General features: G+C 42.4%; 1 protein-coding gene across 1 annotated transcript in view, besides 1 other annotated feature; it reads left to right on the top strand.

Annotated features, from left to right (window-relative positions):
• USP37 (ubiquitin specific peptidase 37) overlaps positions 1-17,230 on the top strand; it is a 118,101-nt gene that overhangs the window by 95,668 nt on the left and 5,203 nt on the right. Inside the window, exons 21-25 of the mRNA NM_020935.3 lie at positions 6,508-6,674; positions 9,318-9,378; positions 12,779-12,894; positions 15,523-15,592; positions 16,966-17,104. Coding sequence (NP_065986.3) covers positions 6,508-6,674; positions 9,318-9,378; positions 12,779-12,894; positions 15,523-15,592; positions 16,966-17,104 — 553 coding nt within the window. The remainder of the gene's footprint in view (positions 1-6,507; positions 6,675-9,317; positions 9,379-12,778; positions 12,895-15,522; positions 15,593-16,965; positions 17,105-17,230) is intronic.
• Positions 6,264-6,558: a silencer, noted in NCBI's record as "tiled region #3568; K562 Repressive non-DNase unmatched - State 13:Ctcf". NCBI's record gives its function as "represses a minimal TATA promoter and a strong SV40 promoter by Sharpr-MPRA in K562 cells {active_cell/tissue: K562}" and the evidence as "EXISTENCE:reporter gene assay evidence [ECO:0000049][PMID:27701403]".

The following is a 17,230-nucleotide window of genomic DNA, read 5'->3' as shown; positions in this document are numbered from 1 at the left end:
GACCAACTTGACCAACATGGTGAAACCCCATCTCTACCAAAAATACAAAATTAGCCGGGTGTGATGTTGCATGTCTGTAATCCCAGCTACTTGGGAGGCTGAGGCAGAAGAATTGCCTGAACCCAGGAGGTGGAGGAGGTTGCAGTGAGCCGATATTGCACCATTGTACTTCATCCTGGGCAACAAGAGCAAAACTCTGTCTCAAAAAAAAAAAAGAGAGAGAGATTCAGGCTGACGTGCTTTGGGGTAAAGTATTATAATATCTGCAATTACAGTGTATTCACATGGCTCCATAGAAAAGAAAAGTGTGAGTGTGTGTATATACACACTCAGTCTCCAAAGACAGCATCTAGTGAACCGTGGCTACCAGTATGCATACTCTTGTGTAGACCTCTTCACAGTGAATTTGGGAAGGCTATGTGAGTGCAATAAAATGTGATTGAATTGATTCTGTGCCAAGTTCGTGATTAAACATTAAGATGGCCTGGCAACTTCCCCTTTTGTGCTTTTGGGAACCCTAAGCTGCTACGTAAGAAGTTTGGCTGCCCTGCTGGAGAGATCACATTGCGAAGGAAAGACTCTTGAGATCACCAAAAGAAAGAGGATATCTAGCCATCCCAGCTAATCTTTCTTTTTTTTTTTTTTTTCCTGGGGCGGACCAAGTCTCTCTCTGTCACCCAGGCTGGAGTGCAGTGGCATGATCTCAGCTCACTGCAACCTCTGCCTCCCAGGTTCAAGTGATTCTCCTGCCTCAGCCTCCCGAGTAGCTGGGATTACAGGCGCCCGCCACCACACCCAGCTAATTTTCTTGTGTGTTTTTAATAGACATGGGGATTCACCATGTTGGCCAGGCTGGTCTCGAACTCCTGACCTCAGGTGATCCACCTGCCTCAGCCTCCCAAAGTGCTAGGATTACAGGCATGAGCCACCACGCCCAGCCCCAGCTGATCTTTCTAACCAACACCACAAAGGTGCCAAGGGAAAAAAAAAATCAAGGGAGACATGTTTTTTGGCCTGAGCAATTGGATAGATAATGGTACCATTTGCTGATATGAGGAAGGCACAGTTGGTGGGACAAGGGAGGAATAAAAATTAAACAGGCAAATGGAGATTTCACCTAGGCATTTCAATATACAAGTTTAAAGCTCAGGGGAGAAATTCAGACTAGAGATATGAATTTGATATTTCATCAGTTTGTGAGGCTATAGTAATACATGAGATCACTTAGAGAGCTTAAGTAGAAAAGACAGTCCAAAGAAGTGTCATGATCACTTTCTTTCAGCAGCCTGTTTTCTCAGTTTCTGATATTAATTCCAAAAGTCTTTTCTTCTACCCTATTTTGGTTGCCCACTTACAGAAGTCATTACCCTAGACCAGTGCTTCTCAAAGTGTGAACTTAGATCATCAAATATAATCTGTGAACTTCCTGGAAATGCCAATTATCTCCTTCCTCTTTTCTTCTGTCGCAGTAGCCTGACAAAACCCCAACTCCCAACTCAACTAGCTACTTTTTCCATACCTGCACCCAAGCTGGTGAAGATTGCTAAAGAAAATCACAAAACTGTGTTCCGTGGACTTTCCTCAAACTCAGGACTACACTCTTAAATGGGCACTAAATGCTACTAGTCAGTTTTGTAATACTTTCTTATTTGTTTTCTCAGTCTCCATGATGTCTTCCTGAAATCTGTACTTATTTCTCTCTTTTTCTCCCTCCCTCTCTCCCTCCCTCAAATATGCCAAGGCCATTCTCATCTCAGAGCTTTTGCACTTAAGGTCCTTGAGGGCAGGCACCATCTTGCTTTAATTATCACTATATCCCCAACTTCTACAACAGTGCTTGGCACATAGATTCTCAATAAATATCTGTGACTTAACAGTTGGGCTGTTTTGTGAATCAGCTGAGGAGGGGCAGGAAGGCAAAGTAAGGTTTTACAGTCTCTAGACACTAGCCAGAAGGAATAGTGTGTACAAAGACTCAGAAATGAGAAAGCCCACAGCAAGTTAGTGGACCTAAAAGAAAGTTCAGAATGATCGGCATGACTGGAGCATATTGTTGAAGGGGAAATGCAAAAGATGAGACTAGAGAGCTAAGTAGTCTCTGGTTTTTGCATGGCCTGAAGCCATGTTTAGGAATTTGGACTTTTGTTTCAAAGGCATTAGGAAGTTATTGGATATTTTAAGCAAACAATTATTTGATAAGGATTTATGTTTGAAGAAAAGATCATTCTGGCTACAGAAGTTAGAAAAAAACAGTAATACTTGAGACCTCTTAGGAAATTATTGCAGTAGTCCAAACAAGAAGTTAGTGGTGTCCTAAGCCAAGGTTTTGGCTTGAAAAAAAAAGTTGATGGATTCAAGAGATGCTTAGGAAATAATAATTTATCTTATGTGAGGAGTGAATGAGAGGGAGAAGTCACATATGATCCTCAGATATCTGTCTTTTAAAAGAAACTGTGGAAAATTATCTTATTCACTGAAATATAGAATATCAGGAAGAGAGTGGGTTTCAATTAGGGCGTGGGGAAGAAGCAAACAGTATATTCAGTGGAAGAATGTTGAGTTAAGGCCACACGCAGTGGCTCACGCCTGTAATCCCAGCACTTTGGGAGGCTGAGGTGGGTGGATCACGAGGTCAGGAGATCGAGACCATCCTGGCTAACATGGTGAAACCCCGTCTCTACTAAAAATACAAAAAATTAGCCAGGCATGGTGGCGGTCGCCTGTAGTCCCAGCTACTTGGGAGGCTGAGGCAGGAGAATGGCAAGAACCCGGGAGGCAGAGGTTGCAGTGAGTCGAGATGGTGCCACTGCACTCCAGCCTGGGCGACAGAGCAAGACTCTGTCTCAAAAAAAAAAAAAAAAAAAAAAAAGAATGTTGAGTTAAACACATGAATCCCCTTTGATCCATTGTACAGTCCTTAAAAGTGGATTATTATTTCATGGCCATGTTTGTCCCCATAGATTTTTAAATACGTTCTGTATCTGTCTGATAATCTTATCCTGAAGACAAATGTATATTGACTTTAGCATCTTCAAGCAAACTTCCTTGATCTCCTTTCTAACACATGGATTAGTTACTAGTATAATCCAGGATTGTCTGAGGTACATTGAATCATTGAGTGTTCAAAATTATTGGTTAAGAAAAATTATTCTGTCACGTTTTTGAGTACGTTTTGATAATAAAAATAATAATACTCATTTTATACTCTAAAATAGCAATATCAACCCCCAAGTCTTCCTTCCACTTGAAATGCTCATCATCAGCTAACTTTGTATATCTCAGTTCCAAATTTCCAAAACAGATAATCTGATTGGTTGAGTCAAATAATCCATTCCCAGTTCAGCAGGCGTAGGTAGGAGGGACAGGCAGGGTCATGTAGACTTCCAAGCTGCCCCTTCTAGGCCATGGCAAGGGTTGTTTCTCCAATAATAGAAGAAAGGAAGAAATTATTGACATCTCTAGGATAATTGTTTTTTGTGTGTTTAATTGGGATTATCTGTAATATAATTTTTCTGAACAATTGGGATTTTTCCACCAAATAAATTCTGAGTCTCTTTTCCTCTTTTAATAAATATTCACTCAGCAATTCAGTACAACTCAAAATGCTAACTAGTTGCTGACTTAGAATCTAAAGCCAGGATGCTGTAAGCTTCAGGGTTACCTGTGCCACAGAGAAATACAGTATTAGGAGCCGGGCGCAGTGTGGCTCACACCTATAATCCCAGCACTTTGGGAGGCCAAGGCAGGTGGATCACCTGAGGTCAGGAGTTCAAGACCAGCCTGGCCAACATGGTGAAACCCTGTCTCTACTAAAAATAAAAAATGAGCCGGGTGTGGTGGCACACGCCTGTAATCCCAGCTACTTGGGAGGCTGAGGCATAAGAATCTCTTGAACCCGGGAGTTGGAGGTTGCAGTGAGCCGAGATTGTGCCACTGTACTCCAGCCTGGCCAACAGAGTGAGAGTCGGTCTCAAAAAATAAAATAAGATAAAATACAGTACTAGGGCAGGTAAAGAGCGTATACAAACTCAATAACAGTATGTATAGCATGAGTATATAAAGGTAATTCTCGTTAGCCAGTTAAATACTTCTTGATGAGGAGGTTTACTTTAGTAATGTTTGATATAGTTAACGCTTGTATTTGTATTGAAAATTATCGTGGGCCGGGCATGGTGGCTCAATCCTGTAATCCCAGCACTTTGAGAAGCAAAGGCTGATGGATCACCTGACGTCAGGAGTTCGAGACCAGCCTGACCAACATGGTGAAACCCCGCCTCTACTAAAAATACAAAATTAGCTGGGCATGGTGGTGCATGCTACTTGGGAGGCTGAGGCAGGAGAATCCCAGCTACTTGGGAGGCTGAGGCAGGAGAATTGCTTGAACCCGGGAGGTGGAGGTTGCAATGAGCCACAATCACGCCCTTGCACTCCAGTCTGGGCAACAAGAGCGAAACTCCATCTCAAAAAATAATAATAATACAAAAATTATGAAATTGCCGGGTATGGTGGCTCACGCCTGTTAATCCCAGCACTTTGGGAGGCCGAGGTGGGCGGATCACTTGACGTCAGGAGTTCGAGACCAGCCTGGCCAGCATGGTGAAACCCCATCTCTACCAAAAATATAAAAAATTAGCCAGGTGTGGTGGTGAACACCTGTAATCCCAGCTACTCGGGAGGCTGAGGCAGGAGAATCGCTTGAACCTAGAAGGTGGAGGTTGCAGTGAGCGGATATTGTGCCGCTGCACTCCACCCTGGGCGACAGAGCAAGACTCAGTCTTAAAAAAAAAAAAAACAAAAAAAACATGAAATGTTATTGCTCTAACAATTCAGATAACCAGAAAAAAATCATAACTATTCTGTTTATTTTAGCTAGCCGTAGTCTAGAAATTGAGAAGGAACAGGCCGGGAGGGGTGGCTCACGCCTATAATCCCAGCACTTTGGGATGCCAAGGCAGGTGGATCACCTGAGGTCAGGAGTTCAAGACCAGTCTGGCCAACATGGTGAAACTCTATCTCTACTAAAAAATACAAAAATTAGGCCAGGCACGGTGGCTCACGCCTGTAATCCCAGCACTTTGGGAGGCTGAGGTGGGCGGATCACAAGGTCGGGAGTTCGAGACCAGCCTGACCAAGATGGTGAAACCCCGTCTCTACTAAAAATACAAAAATTAGCCGGGCGTGGTGGCGTGCACCTGTAATCCCAGCTACGCGGAAGGCTGAAGCAGGAGAATCGCTGGAACCCTAGAGGCAAAGGTTGCAGTGAGCCGAGATCGCGCCACTGCACTCCAGCCTGAGCAACAGAGCGAAACTCCATCTCAAAAAAAAATAGATAGATAGATAGATAGATAGATAGATAGATAGATAGATATAGATTAGCTGGGCATGGTGGCGGGCGCCTGTAGTCCCAGCTACTCAGGAGTCTGAGGCGGGAGAATTGCCTGAAAGAGGTGGAGGTTGCAGTGAGCCACTGCACTCCAGCCTGGGCAGGGGGAGGGGGAAGGGAGGAGGGGGGAGGGGATTTCTTACCTTCCTGAATGTTTTAAACACACACTGTATATTGCCATACACTCTTGATTTAGATATATACAATGCTTGTTTGATTATTAATGTTTAAACACATGTTCAACATACAGTGTAATAAATGGGGAAAATCGGCGAGGCACAGTGGCTCACACCTGTAATCTCAGCATTTTGGGAGCCCAAGGCGGGCAGATCACCAGAGGTCAGGAGTTTGAGAGCAGCCTGGCCAATGTGATGAAACCTCATCTCTACTAAAACAAAAATTAGTTAGGTGTGATGGCGTGCACCTGTAATCCCAGCTGCTTGGTGGCTGAGGCATGAGAATTGCTTGAACCCAGGAGGCAGAGATTGCAGTGAGCCGAGATAGTGCCACTGGACTCCAGCCTGGGTGAGAGAGCAAGACACTGTCCCCAAAAAATAAAAAAAAGAATGGGGAAAATCTCAATAGTAGCTTGATCATTTTGGCCTAATTCTTACTTCATTTGCTCTAAAAATATTTTATTTCCAGTACTTGGTCAAGTGACACTATGACCTATGGCTGTTTTTTCTTCCCCATCTTTACATAGTGTGTTTCTGATGATTAATTAACTTTTAGAACCATCACTGTAGATCATTTGTTCTCAAACAAGAACAATTTTGCCTTCCAGAGGACATATAGTAGTGTCTGTCATTTTTGGTTATCACAACTGTAGAGGGTGGATGCTACTAATATCTAGTAGGTAGAGGCCAGAAACACTGCTAAACGTTCTACAATGCACAGGACATACTCTTCTCCCCTCACCCCAACAAAAGCTTGTCCCACCCAAAATGTCAATAGCTCTAGGTTGATCAACCCTGACGTAGATCTAGTAAGGTGAAATTGTATGTCCTAAGCAAATTATAGATGAAATTAGGGTAAATTGCTTTATGAACAGTAGGTGTCACTCTAGTTCAGAAATTTCCATTTATTAGGATTTTCCAAATTAATGTTATGTTCTGCTTCCTCAGATCCTGCCAGTTTTACTGAGATAACTAAAGACTGTGATGAGAATAAAGAAAACAAAACTCCAGAAGGATCTCAGGGAGAAGTTGATTGGCTCCAGCAGTATGATATGGAGCGTGAAAGGGAAGAGCAAGAGCTTCAGCAGGCACTGGCTCAGAGCCTTCAAGAGCAAGTAAGAGATATTTATATTGCTACTTTCTCTGTACTTACCTTTCCTGAGAAATATAATAATAATAACTAATGTGTTGAGCACTTACTATGTGTCAGACATTGTTCCAGATGATTTACATAGAGTAAGTCATTGGGGAAAAAAAAGACTTGTTTGAGGCAGGGTTTGGTGGTTCATGCCTGTAATCTCAGTACTTTGGGAGGCTGAGGCGGACGGATCACTTGAGGCCAGGAGTTTGAGACCAGCCTAGCCAACATGACAAAACCCCATCTACTAAAAATATAAAACTTAGCCAGGCATGGTGGCACACACCTGTAGTCCCAGCTACTCAGAAGGCTGAGGCAGGAGAATCGCTTGAACCCAGGAGGCAGAGGTTGCAGTGAGCTGAGATCACGCCACTGCACTCCAGCCTGGGTTTGAAACAGGTACGTGGGTAGTGTTTCTTTTTTTGACAATCCAAATGCAATAAAATGTATTGTTGGTTACCTTTCATAACTATAATTCATTGCTTGCTAAAACAGGATGGGGTATTATAGATTATTCCTAGTCCAAATTTATTTTTTTCTTTTCTTTTTATTTTTATTTTCTATTTTAATTTTTTAGAGACAGAGCCTTGTTATGTTGCCCAGGCTGGTTTTGAACTCCTGGACTGAAGCACTCCTCCCCTTTTGGCCTCCTAAAGTGCTAGGACTACAGATGTGAGCCACCATGCCTGGCTTCCCAGTCCAGCATTATTTTGCAAGCTGTAGAAACAACCAGTATAACACCATGATTTTATAATTGTATTTTAAGGCAATGTATTTGTTTTGGTTATTTTCTAAGAATATAAATTTTTTATGAATTATTTGAACATAGAATTATCACAAATATTTTCTAAAATCTAATTTTCAGATTTTAGTATTAGAACATTTATCTGTCTTCCTGTTTATTTATTGAGATAGGGTCTTGCTCAGTTGCCCAGGCTGGAATGTAGTGGCTTGATCATTCCTCACTGCAGCCTCAAACTCTGAGCTCAAGCAATTCTCCTGCCTAGGCCTCTCAAGTACATGGGACCACAGGAGCATCCACCATGCCCGGCTCATTTTTTTATTTTTAGTAAAGACAGTGTCTCACTGTTGCCCAGGCTGGTCTCAAACTCCTGGGCTTAAGCAGTCCTCCCACCACAACCTCCCAAAGTGCTGGGATTATAGGCATGAGCTATTTGCCCCCAGCCCTTGCTCTTTTCTTTATGTAGTAACCTATTCTTCAATGTTCAGTTTATGCCATTTGTTTTCCACTGTTACAGTCACCTGAAATATCAGATTTATAGGCAACAGGATCTGACTTACAGGTCTGATTTTTCATAGTTATCTAATCCTGTGCAATCCAAGTCATGTTAGTAAAAATTTACCAAGACTCCCTAGAATGAATGGGTAGGTTTAGTACTTGTTTGAGGCCTGCTTTGGGTTCATCAGATAATCAGATTAAGAAATCTAAGCTGGGCACTGTGGCTCACGCCTGTAATCCCAGCACTTTGGGAGGCCAAGGTGGGTGGATCCCTTAAGGCTAGGAGTTCTAGACCAGCCTGGCCAAAATGGTGACACTCTGTCTCTGCTAAAAATACAAAAATTAACCTGCTGTGGTGGCGTGCGCCTGTATTCTCAACTAGTAAGGAGGCTGAGGCACAAGAATTGCTTGAACCCGGGAGGTGGAGGTTGCAGTGGGCCAAGATCACGCTACTGCTGTACTTCTGCCTTGGCTATAGAGCAAGACTCTGTCTCAAAAAAAAAAAAAGAAATCTAATTTCTCTAGATCAGTGGTTCTTAATCTTAACTGCACATTCAAATTTACTGGGGAGCTTTAAAAATACTGGAATGGGCTGGGTATGGTGGCTCATGCCTGTAATTCCAGCACTTTGGGAGGCTGAGGCAGGCAGATTGCAAGATCAAGAGATCGAGACCATCCTGGCCAACATGGTGAAACCCCATCTCTACTAAAAATACAAAAAAAATTAACTGGGTGTGGTGGCACGCACCTGTAGTCCCAGCCACCCGGGAGGCTGAGACAGGAGAATCGCTTGAACCTGGGAGGTAGAGGATGCAGTGAGCCGAGATCGTGCCACTGCCCTCCAGCCTGCCAACAGAGCAAGACTCCCTCTCAAAAAAAAAAAAAAAAAAAATCTTAAAAAATACTGGAGTGGGCCGGGCGCAGTGGCTCACACTTGTAATCCCAGCACTTTGGGAAGCCGAGGTGGGCGGATCACAAGGTCAGGAGATTGAGACCACCCTGGCTAACATGGTGAAACCCCATCTCTACTAAAAATACAAAAAATTAGCTAGACGTGGTGGCGGGCGCCTGTAGTCCCAGCTACTTGGGAGGCTGAGGCGGGAGAATGGCGTGAACCCAGGAGGCGGAGCTTGCATTGAGCCGAGATCACACCACTGCACTCCAGCCTGGGGGACAGAGCGAGACTCCGTCTCAAAAAAAAAAAAAAAAAAAAAAAGTAAAGAACTTCCCCACATTCCTCAAAAGGTAATATTCCAAACATCCATAAGGTTATAGAAAGCATTCTTAGCAAATGCTTCCAGAGAAACTGATTTTATCCTCATTAAGTAAGTTTAATCAGTACCTCTTTAAATACCTTAGTTTTTGTTCTTTTCCCTTTAGGAGGCTTGGGAACAGAAAGAAGATGATGACCTCAAAAGAGCTACCGAGTTAAGTCTTCAAGGTGTGGAGATCTTTTTAATTACATTTTTTTAATGGTAAAATTACCATTCACACATAGAAGAACATATAAAGAAAGTGTGTGTGTGTGTGTGTGTGTGTGTGTGTGTGTGTGTGTGTGTGTGTGTGTGTGTTTATTGTGGGGGAGAGCCTCTCACTCTGTCACCCAGGCTGGAGTGCAGTGGTGCAATCTTGGCTCACTGCAACCTCCACGTCCTGGGTACAAGCAATTCTCATGCCTCAGCCTCCCGAGTAGCTGGAATTAGCGGTTGTGCCACCACACCCAGCTAATTTTTGTATTTTCAGTAGAGACGGGGTTTCACCATGTTGGCCAAGGCTGGTCTTGAACTCCTGGCTTCAAGTGATCCACCCTCCTCAGCCTCCCAAAGTGCCGAGATTACAAGCTAAAATGTGTTTTTTGATAACAAATTTGAATACCTCCCAGGTAAAGAAATAGAACCTTAGAAGTAACCTTTATATCTCTCCTTTTTGTCTTCCTCCCAGAGGAAACCACTATTCTAACATTTGTATTCATCTTCAGCTTGCTTTTTTCAAAATAATTTTTGTCATCTATACCCATATCTCTAACAATATGTTTTTTAATATTGAAAAATTAGCAAGAACAATCTATCATCTGTTTAATGAAAGAATTATAATTTTGCCACTGTTACGACTCCTAGAAGAACATAATGTGGCTTCAGTTTCCCCGTGAATTTTCAAGAGCTTATTCTGGGGCAGTCAGTGGGCAGTCATGAGTGAGTGTATTCAGTAGCATAAGGTTCACATGTCGTAGCATTTGGCAGAACTAATATGTGGACCAGGTTTTAGAAGTCCATGAGTTAGGAAGCTGGAAGAAGTAGATGTAGGAATCTGTTTCTCAAACAGCTTTTACCTAATCTTTATTTTATCCCCTCCTTATCCCCCAGTTTCAGAGGTACCTGGTTCCTGGTTCTTCCATGTCTTCATTTTTTTGGAGACAGGGTCATGCTCTGTTGCCCAGGGCCTGGAGTGCAGAGGCGTGATCTCTGCTCACTGCAACCTCTGCCTCCCGGATTCAAGTGATTCTTGTGCCTCAGCCTCCTGAGTAGCTGGGACTATAGGCGTGCACCACCACACCCAGCTAATTTTTTAATTTTTTTTTTTTCTTTTTTTGAGACAGAGTTTCACTCTTGTTGCCGAGGCTGGAGTGCAATGGCACAATCTTGGCTCACTGCAAACTCAGCATCCCAGGTTCAAGCAGTTCTCCTGCCTCAGCTTCCCAAGTAGCTGGGATTACAGGCACCCACCACCACATCCAGCTAAATTTTGTATTTTTAGTAGAGATGAGGTTTCACCATGTTGGCCAGGCAGGTCTCGAACTCTTGACCTTAGGTGATCCACCTGCGTTGGCCTCCCAAAGTGTTGGGATTGCAGGTGTGAGCCACCGTGCCCAGGTTCCAGCTAATTTTTTATATTTCATTTTAGTAGAGATGGAGTTTTGGCATGTTGCCCAGGCTGGTCTCGAACTCCTGATCTCAGGCAGTTCACCCACCCGCCTCGGCCTCCCAAAGTCCTAGGATTAGAGGTGTGAGCCACCATGCCTGGCCTAGTTCTTCCATGTCTTCTTGTGTCTTTTGAACATTCAGTGATATAAATTGGATTAGTTTTCAACTTTTCCATTGCTGGCTTGGGGTATGGCTTTGGCTTTCTTAGGTCTGCTGAGTCAGTCACACATGTATTTCCAACTTCCAGAATTTTGAAGCTATATTCTCTTTTCCTGTTCTTCACATTCTTAGATTTTCTTTTTTCTTTTTTTTTTCTTTTGAGATGGAGTTTCTCTCTTGTTGCCCAGGCTGGAGTGCAGTGGCGTGATCTTGGCTCACTGCAACTTCTGCCTCCTGAGTTCAAGCGATTCTCCTGCCTCAGCCTCCCAAGTAGCTGGGATTACAGGCATGTGCCACCATGCCCAGCTAATTTTGTATTTTTAGTAGAGGTGGAGTTTACCATGTTGGTCAGGCTGGTCTCCAGCTCCTGACCTCAGGTAATCCACCTGCCTCGGCCTCCCAAAGTGCTGGGATTACAGGTGTGAGCCACCGTGCCTGGCTTCATTCTTAGATATTCATGTGATTGTAAATCACACTATACTGTGATTTTAGTGGAGCTAATTATATATTAAAGCAAATAACCATTTATGTACAAATGCTCCTGGGATTCTTTATTTAACACCATTAGTAAAGATGGATGCTTCCAGTGGACACGTATTATTCAAGAAAATACAGATCTTGTATTTGTTTAGTATATCTTACGTGAAATTTAAGAGTTAAAGGTTGAATTCTCTTTACTTTTTTGGTACGTTTCAAGAAATGATTTTTTTTTTATTTTTATTTTTTTGAGACAGAGTCTCGCTCTGTCACCAGGCTGGAGTGCAGTGGCGCAATCTCGGCTCACTGCAACCTCCGCCTCCCGGGTTCAAGTGATTCTCCTACCTCAGCTTCCCGAGTAGCTGGGACTACTGGTGTGCGCCACCACACCTGGCTAATTTTTGTATTTTTAGTAGAGAAGGAGTTTTACCATGTTGGCTAGGATGGTCTTGATCTCTTGACCTTGTGATCCGCCCACCTCAGCCTCCCAAAGTGCTGAGATTACAGGCATAAGCCACCACACTCGGCCAAGAAATGATTTAATACAAAGAAAAAAAGAACATTGACCTTTTTATAATCCTTTTTCTGTGAGGATAATTTATGTTTGCTAATGACACCAAGTACTTGAAATCTAACATATATAGCTTATATCATATAGAATTTAGTGAAATTGGATTATATGTAAAATTATTTTCTAGTTTTATATCTTTCTTATAAGGGTTAGATCCCTTTATCATATAAATATATTTAAAAGAAAAAGAGCGTTTCTTTTACAGATACCATGTCTCCCGTGTTCCCCACAGTGGGCTGAGCGTGTTGGACCGTCATATTACGTTTTATGTTTTCTTAGAATGATAAAATGTGTACCTCAAACTATTTTATCTTTCTAATTATATCTGTTATGTCTATTCCAAGAACTTTTTTTTTTTTTGGGACAGAGTTTTGCTCTTGTTGCCCAGGCTGGAGTACAATGGTGCAATCTCAGGTCATTGCAATCTCTGCCTCCTGGGTTCAAGAAACTCCTGCCTCAGCCTCCCAAGTAGCTGGGATTACAGGCATTAGCCACCACTCCTGGCTAATTTTTTTTTTTTTTTTTTTGTATTTTTAGTAGAGATGGAGTTTCTCTACCCCATCTCTGACCATGTTGGTCAGGCTGGTCTCGAACTCCTGACCTCAGGTGATCCACCTGTCTCGGCCTCCCAAAGTGTTGGGATTACAGGTGTGAGCCACCACGTCCATTCTATTCCAAGAACTTTTATAAGATTTTGTCTTTGTATTCTTCAGAGTTTAACAACTCCTTTGTGGATGCATTGGGTTCTGATGAGGACTCTGGAAATGAGGATGTTTTTGATATGGAGTACACAGAAGCTGAAGCTGAGGAACTGAAAAGAAATGCTGAGGTAATTGTTTTCATTCCTGAGTACAGTTGGTCAAATTCAGTGTCACTCTTCCCACTCTTTACTTCAAAGGCCCCACTTTCAGTGTCCACTGCAGGTTCATTTTGGCCCTTTCAGTAGCCATTAGATGGTCTCATTTTCTCTTGTCATTTGCTGTTCATTTTTCACATACAAGATTTAAAAAAACAAACAAACAAACAAAAAAAACAGGAATACATCCTGACCACTTTACATGCATGTTAGGTAAGAACTCAGTAAAGGCATGTATGTATTAAATTACCTTTAGTTGGCCGGGCATGGTGGCTCACGCCTGTAATCCCAGCACTTTGGGAGGCTGGGGCAGGTGGATCACCTGAGATCAGGAGTTCGAGACCAGCCTGACCAACATGGTGAAACCCTGTCTCTACTAAAAATGCAAAAATTAGCTGGGCGTGGTGGCACACGCCTGTAATCCCAGCTATTTGGGAGGCTGAGGCAGGAGAATCACCTGAACCTGGGAAGAGGAGGAGGTTGCAGTGAGCCAAGATTATGCCATTGTACTCCAGCCTGGGCAACAAGAGCGAAACTCCATCTCGGGGGGAAAAAATTACCTTTAGTTACACTGAATAACTGTATCATCTTTATAATTAAATACCAAAAACGGTTGTTCCTCACTGAAAACTATTGAATTGGTGATGTTAATTAGGGCACATTGAACTGTTTTTTTTTTTTTAACCCTTTTTCCCCCCTTAAATAATTGCTTTTTCTCCTCAAATTTTGATTATCCAGGATCCTACCATCCTAACACAATTACTCTCAGCACTTTGACATATTTCTTTGTTATTCTCACCTCCATGTATACTTTTTAAAAAGTCGTAAGTATAGTTTTTATTTCATTTGCTTTTTTGTTCTAGAGACAGAGTCTCACTGTGTTGCCCAGGCTGGCTTCAGACTCCTGGGCTCAAGGGATTTTCCTGCCTCAGCCTTCCAAATGGCTGGAACTAGAGGCACACACTGCCACACCCAGGTTATCCTGTTTCTTAAAGAGTAGTTATTTATAAGCTTATGTTTAATGGCTGTACTATATTGCCTCAAATAAATATCCTACTTATTTAACTTTTAGCTAACATTGAGTATTTGTCTAAGTTGTTTTTAATTTTTCACTATGATAATAAGTTGGGAAACTGTATGCTTATAGCATTTTCCTTATTTTATTTTATTTTATTTTTTAATTTTTTTGAGACAGAGTCTCGCTCTGTCACCCAGGCTGGAGTGCAGTGACACGATCTCAGCTCACTGCAACTTCCTCCACTTCCTGGGCTCAAGCGATTCTTGTGCCTCAGCCACCTGAGTAGCTGGGATTGCAGGCATGAGCCACTATGCCCAGCTAATTTTTGTATTTTTAGTAGAGATGCAATTTCACCATGTTGGCTAGGCCAGTCTCAAATTCTTGGCCTTGAGGGATCCACCCATCTCTGCCTCCCAAAGTATGGGGATTACAGGCCTGAGCCACTGCACCTGGCCAAACATAGAGTTGTTTTTTTTTTTTTTTTTTTTTTTAGGCAAGGTCTGTCTGTCACCCAGGCTGGAGTGCAGTGGCGTGTGCTCTTGGCTCATGCATTTTCTATATTTTAGAATTTCTCCTTTTATATTCTCCAGAAGTAAATTACTAAATCGAAGTTTATGAACATTTTAAGTTTCTGGTTTACATATAGCCATATTCCTTCCCCCAATTTTTTTTTTCTTTTCTTTTCTTTTCTTTTTTTTTTTTTTTGAGACAGAGTCTTGCTCTGTCGCCCAGGCTGGAGTGCAGTGGCCCGATCTCAGCTCACTGCAAGCTCCACCTCCTGGATTCATGCCATTCTCCTGCCTCAGCCTCCCGAGCAGCTGGGACTACAGGCGCCCGCCAGCTAATTTTTTGTGTTTTTTTAGTAGAGACAGGGTTTCACTGTGTTAGGCAGGATGGTCTCAATCTCCTGACCTCGTGATCTGCCCACCTTGGCCTCCCAAAGTGCTGGGATTACAGGCGTGAGCCACCACGCCTGGCCTTCCTTCCCCAAATTTTACCTTATAGTGCTGTCTGCAGTGCATGAATATCACTTTTTCAGTTTTGCTTTATTTTACCAAAAATATTTTAATCATATTTTTTAAAATATAAAAGTTCACTCTGATCCCTACAGCAACATAGCAACTCTTTTTAACATTTTTGTTCTATTGTCCAATGCCTAACTCTTAACGTAACATTTTTTTAATAGAGTTATAGTTACTATGTGCATTCATATGGGTTTGGAAAAAAGGTTAACATGTTCCTGATCCATGTAGTTTTTTTATATAACTGAACATTATTATATTGAATTGATATACTAACCAGTTAGCTATTATTGGATATATTGTTGGTTCCAGCTTTTCACCAGATAATGCCACAGTAAATAATTTGATACATATACTCTTCTTTTGACTTATTTCCTTAGAATAAATTCTTAGTTGAGGGTGGAATTCTTGGGTCAAAGGGTATGAACAGATTTTTTAATTGATTCTTACTATGCCACATACCAAAGCTTAGCCATGTCAGCTTTGATAATAAATTTATATTCAGTGTTTTGCTTTTATTCAAATGAAGACTTAAAAGTTATACCCACTTCTGTTTTCCAGACAGGAAATCTGCCTCATTCGTACCGGCTCATCAGTGTTGTCAGTCACATTGGTAGCACTTCTTCTTCAGGTGAATAGCCATCATGATTTCAGCATTTTATAAATGAACTAGTCAGCATTTGCTCTTTATTATATTGCTCTTTGCCTAGCTTTGTGAAGTGTGTTTTTCTTTTTCTTTTTCTTTTTTTTTTTGAGATCCAGTCTCACTCTGTTGCCCAGGATGGAGTGTAGTGGCACAATCTCGGCTCACTGCAGCCTCCACCTCCTGGGTCCAAGTGATTCTGCTGTCTCAGCCTCCCAAGTAGCTGGGATTACAGGCATGCACCACCACGCCCAGCTAATTTTTGCATTTTTAGTAGAGATGGGGTTTCACCATATTGGCCAGGCTGGTCTTGAACTCCTGGGATCAAGAGATCCACCCACCTTGGCCTCCCAAAGTGCTGGGATTACAGACGTGAGCGACCATGCCCAGCCCACGAAGTATAAGTTTTTCAAGAAAATCTTTGAAATCTACTTTGATCACACTCAATGTGCATTGTGTTAATAGGTGTAACTGTTTTGATTTCTCAATTCATAAGTGACCTAAATTCCCCTGAACAAAATACATTAATCAAAAATGGTGTACCAGTGTAGCATATGCCTCCTTGATTCTCTGTGTATATACAAATATTTTTTTCTTCTTTTTTCTTTTTTTTTTTTTCAAGAGACAGGGTCTCACTCTGTCACCAGGCTGGAGTGCAGTGGCACCATCATTAGCTCATTGCAGCACTGAATTCCTGGGCTCAGGAGCTCAAGAGATCCTCCTCCCTCAGCCTGCTGAGTAGCTGCGACTACACGTGCATGCCACCACACCTGACTAATTTTTTTAAATTTTTTGTATGGACGGGTTCTTGCTTTGTTGCCCAAGCTGGTTTCAAACTCCTGGCCTCAAGCAGTCCTCCTGCCTTGGCCTCCCAAAGTGCTGGGATTATAGGAGTGAGCCACTGTGCCTGGCCTGTATGTTTCTTCAATGGGTTTTAGACACAGTGTTGAGGATAAGGTGAATGTGGTAGCTTTTTTTCTTTCTCAAACTTCCTGCACCTGAGATAAAATTAATGCGTTTTTGTTTATTTTTTTGAGATGGAGTCTCACTCTGTCACCCAGGCTGGAGTGCAGTGGTGCTATCTCGGTTCACTGCAACCTCCACCTCCTGGGTTCAAACAATCCTCCTGCCTCAGCCTCCTGAGTAGCTGGGACTACAGGCGCACGCCACCATGCCTGGCTAATTTTTGTATTTTTAGTAGAGACGGGGCTTCACCATGTTGGTGAGGCTGGTCTCAAACTCCTGACCTCGTGATCCGCCTGCCTCAGCCTCCCAAAGTGCTGAGATTACAGGCGTGAGCCATCGCGCCCAGCTTCGGTGTGTTTTTAAAAACCTTGATTTTAAGATGTTATTTGTTTCAGGTCATTACATTAGTGATGTATATGACATTAAGAAGCAAGCGTGGTTTACTTACAATGACCTGGAGGTATCAAAAATCCAAGAGGCTGCCGTGCAGAGTGATCGAGATCGGAGTGGCTACATCTTCTTTTATATGCACAAGTAAGAAACTTTGCCAGATTCTAAATAATGAGTTAGAAATCACCGGAACTCTTTTTTTTTTTTTTTTTTCCTTTGAGGATAAAATGTTTCCATCAGTTGATTGGTTGAAAATTTTTGGTTTTTATC

This window comes from Homo sapiens, chromosome 2 (assembly GCF_000001405.40).
Source record: "Homo sapiens chromosome 2, GRCh38.p14 Primary Assembly".
Lineage (NCBI taxonomy): Eukaryota > Metazoa > Chordata > Mammalia > Primates > Hominidae > Homo > Homo sapiens.
This window is presented reverse-complemented; position numbering and strand designations above follow the sequence as displayed.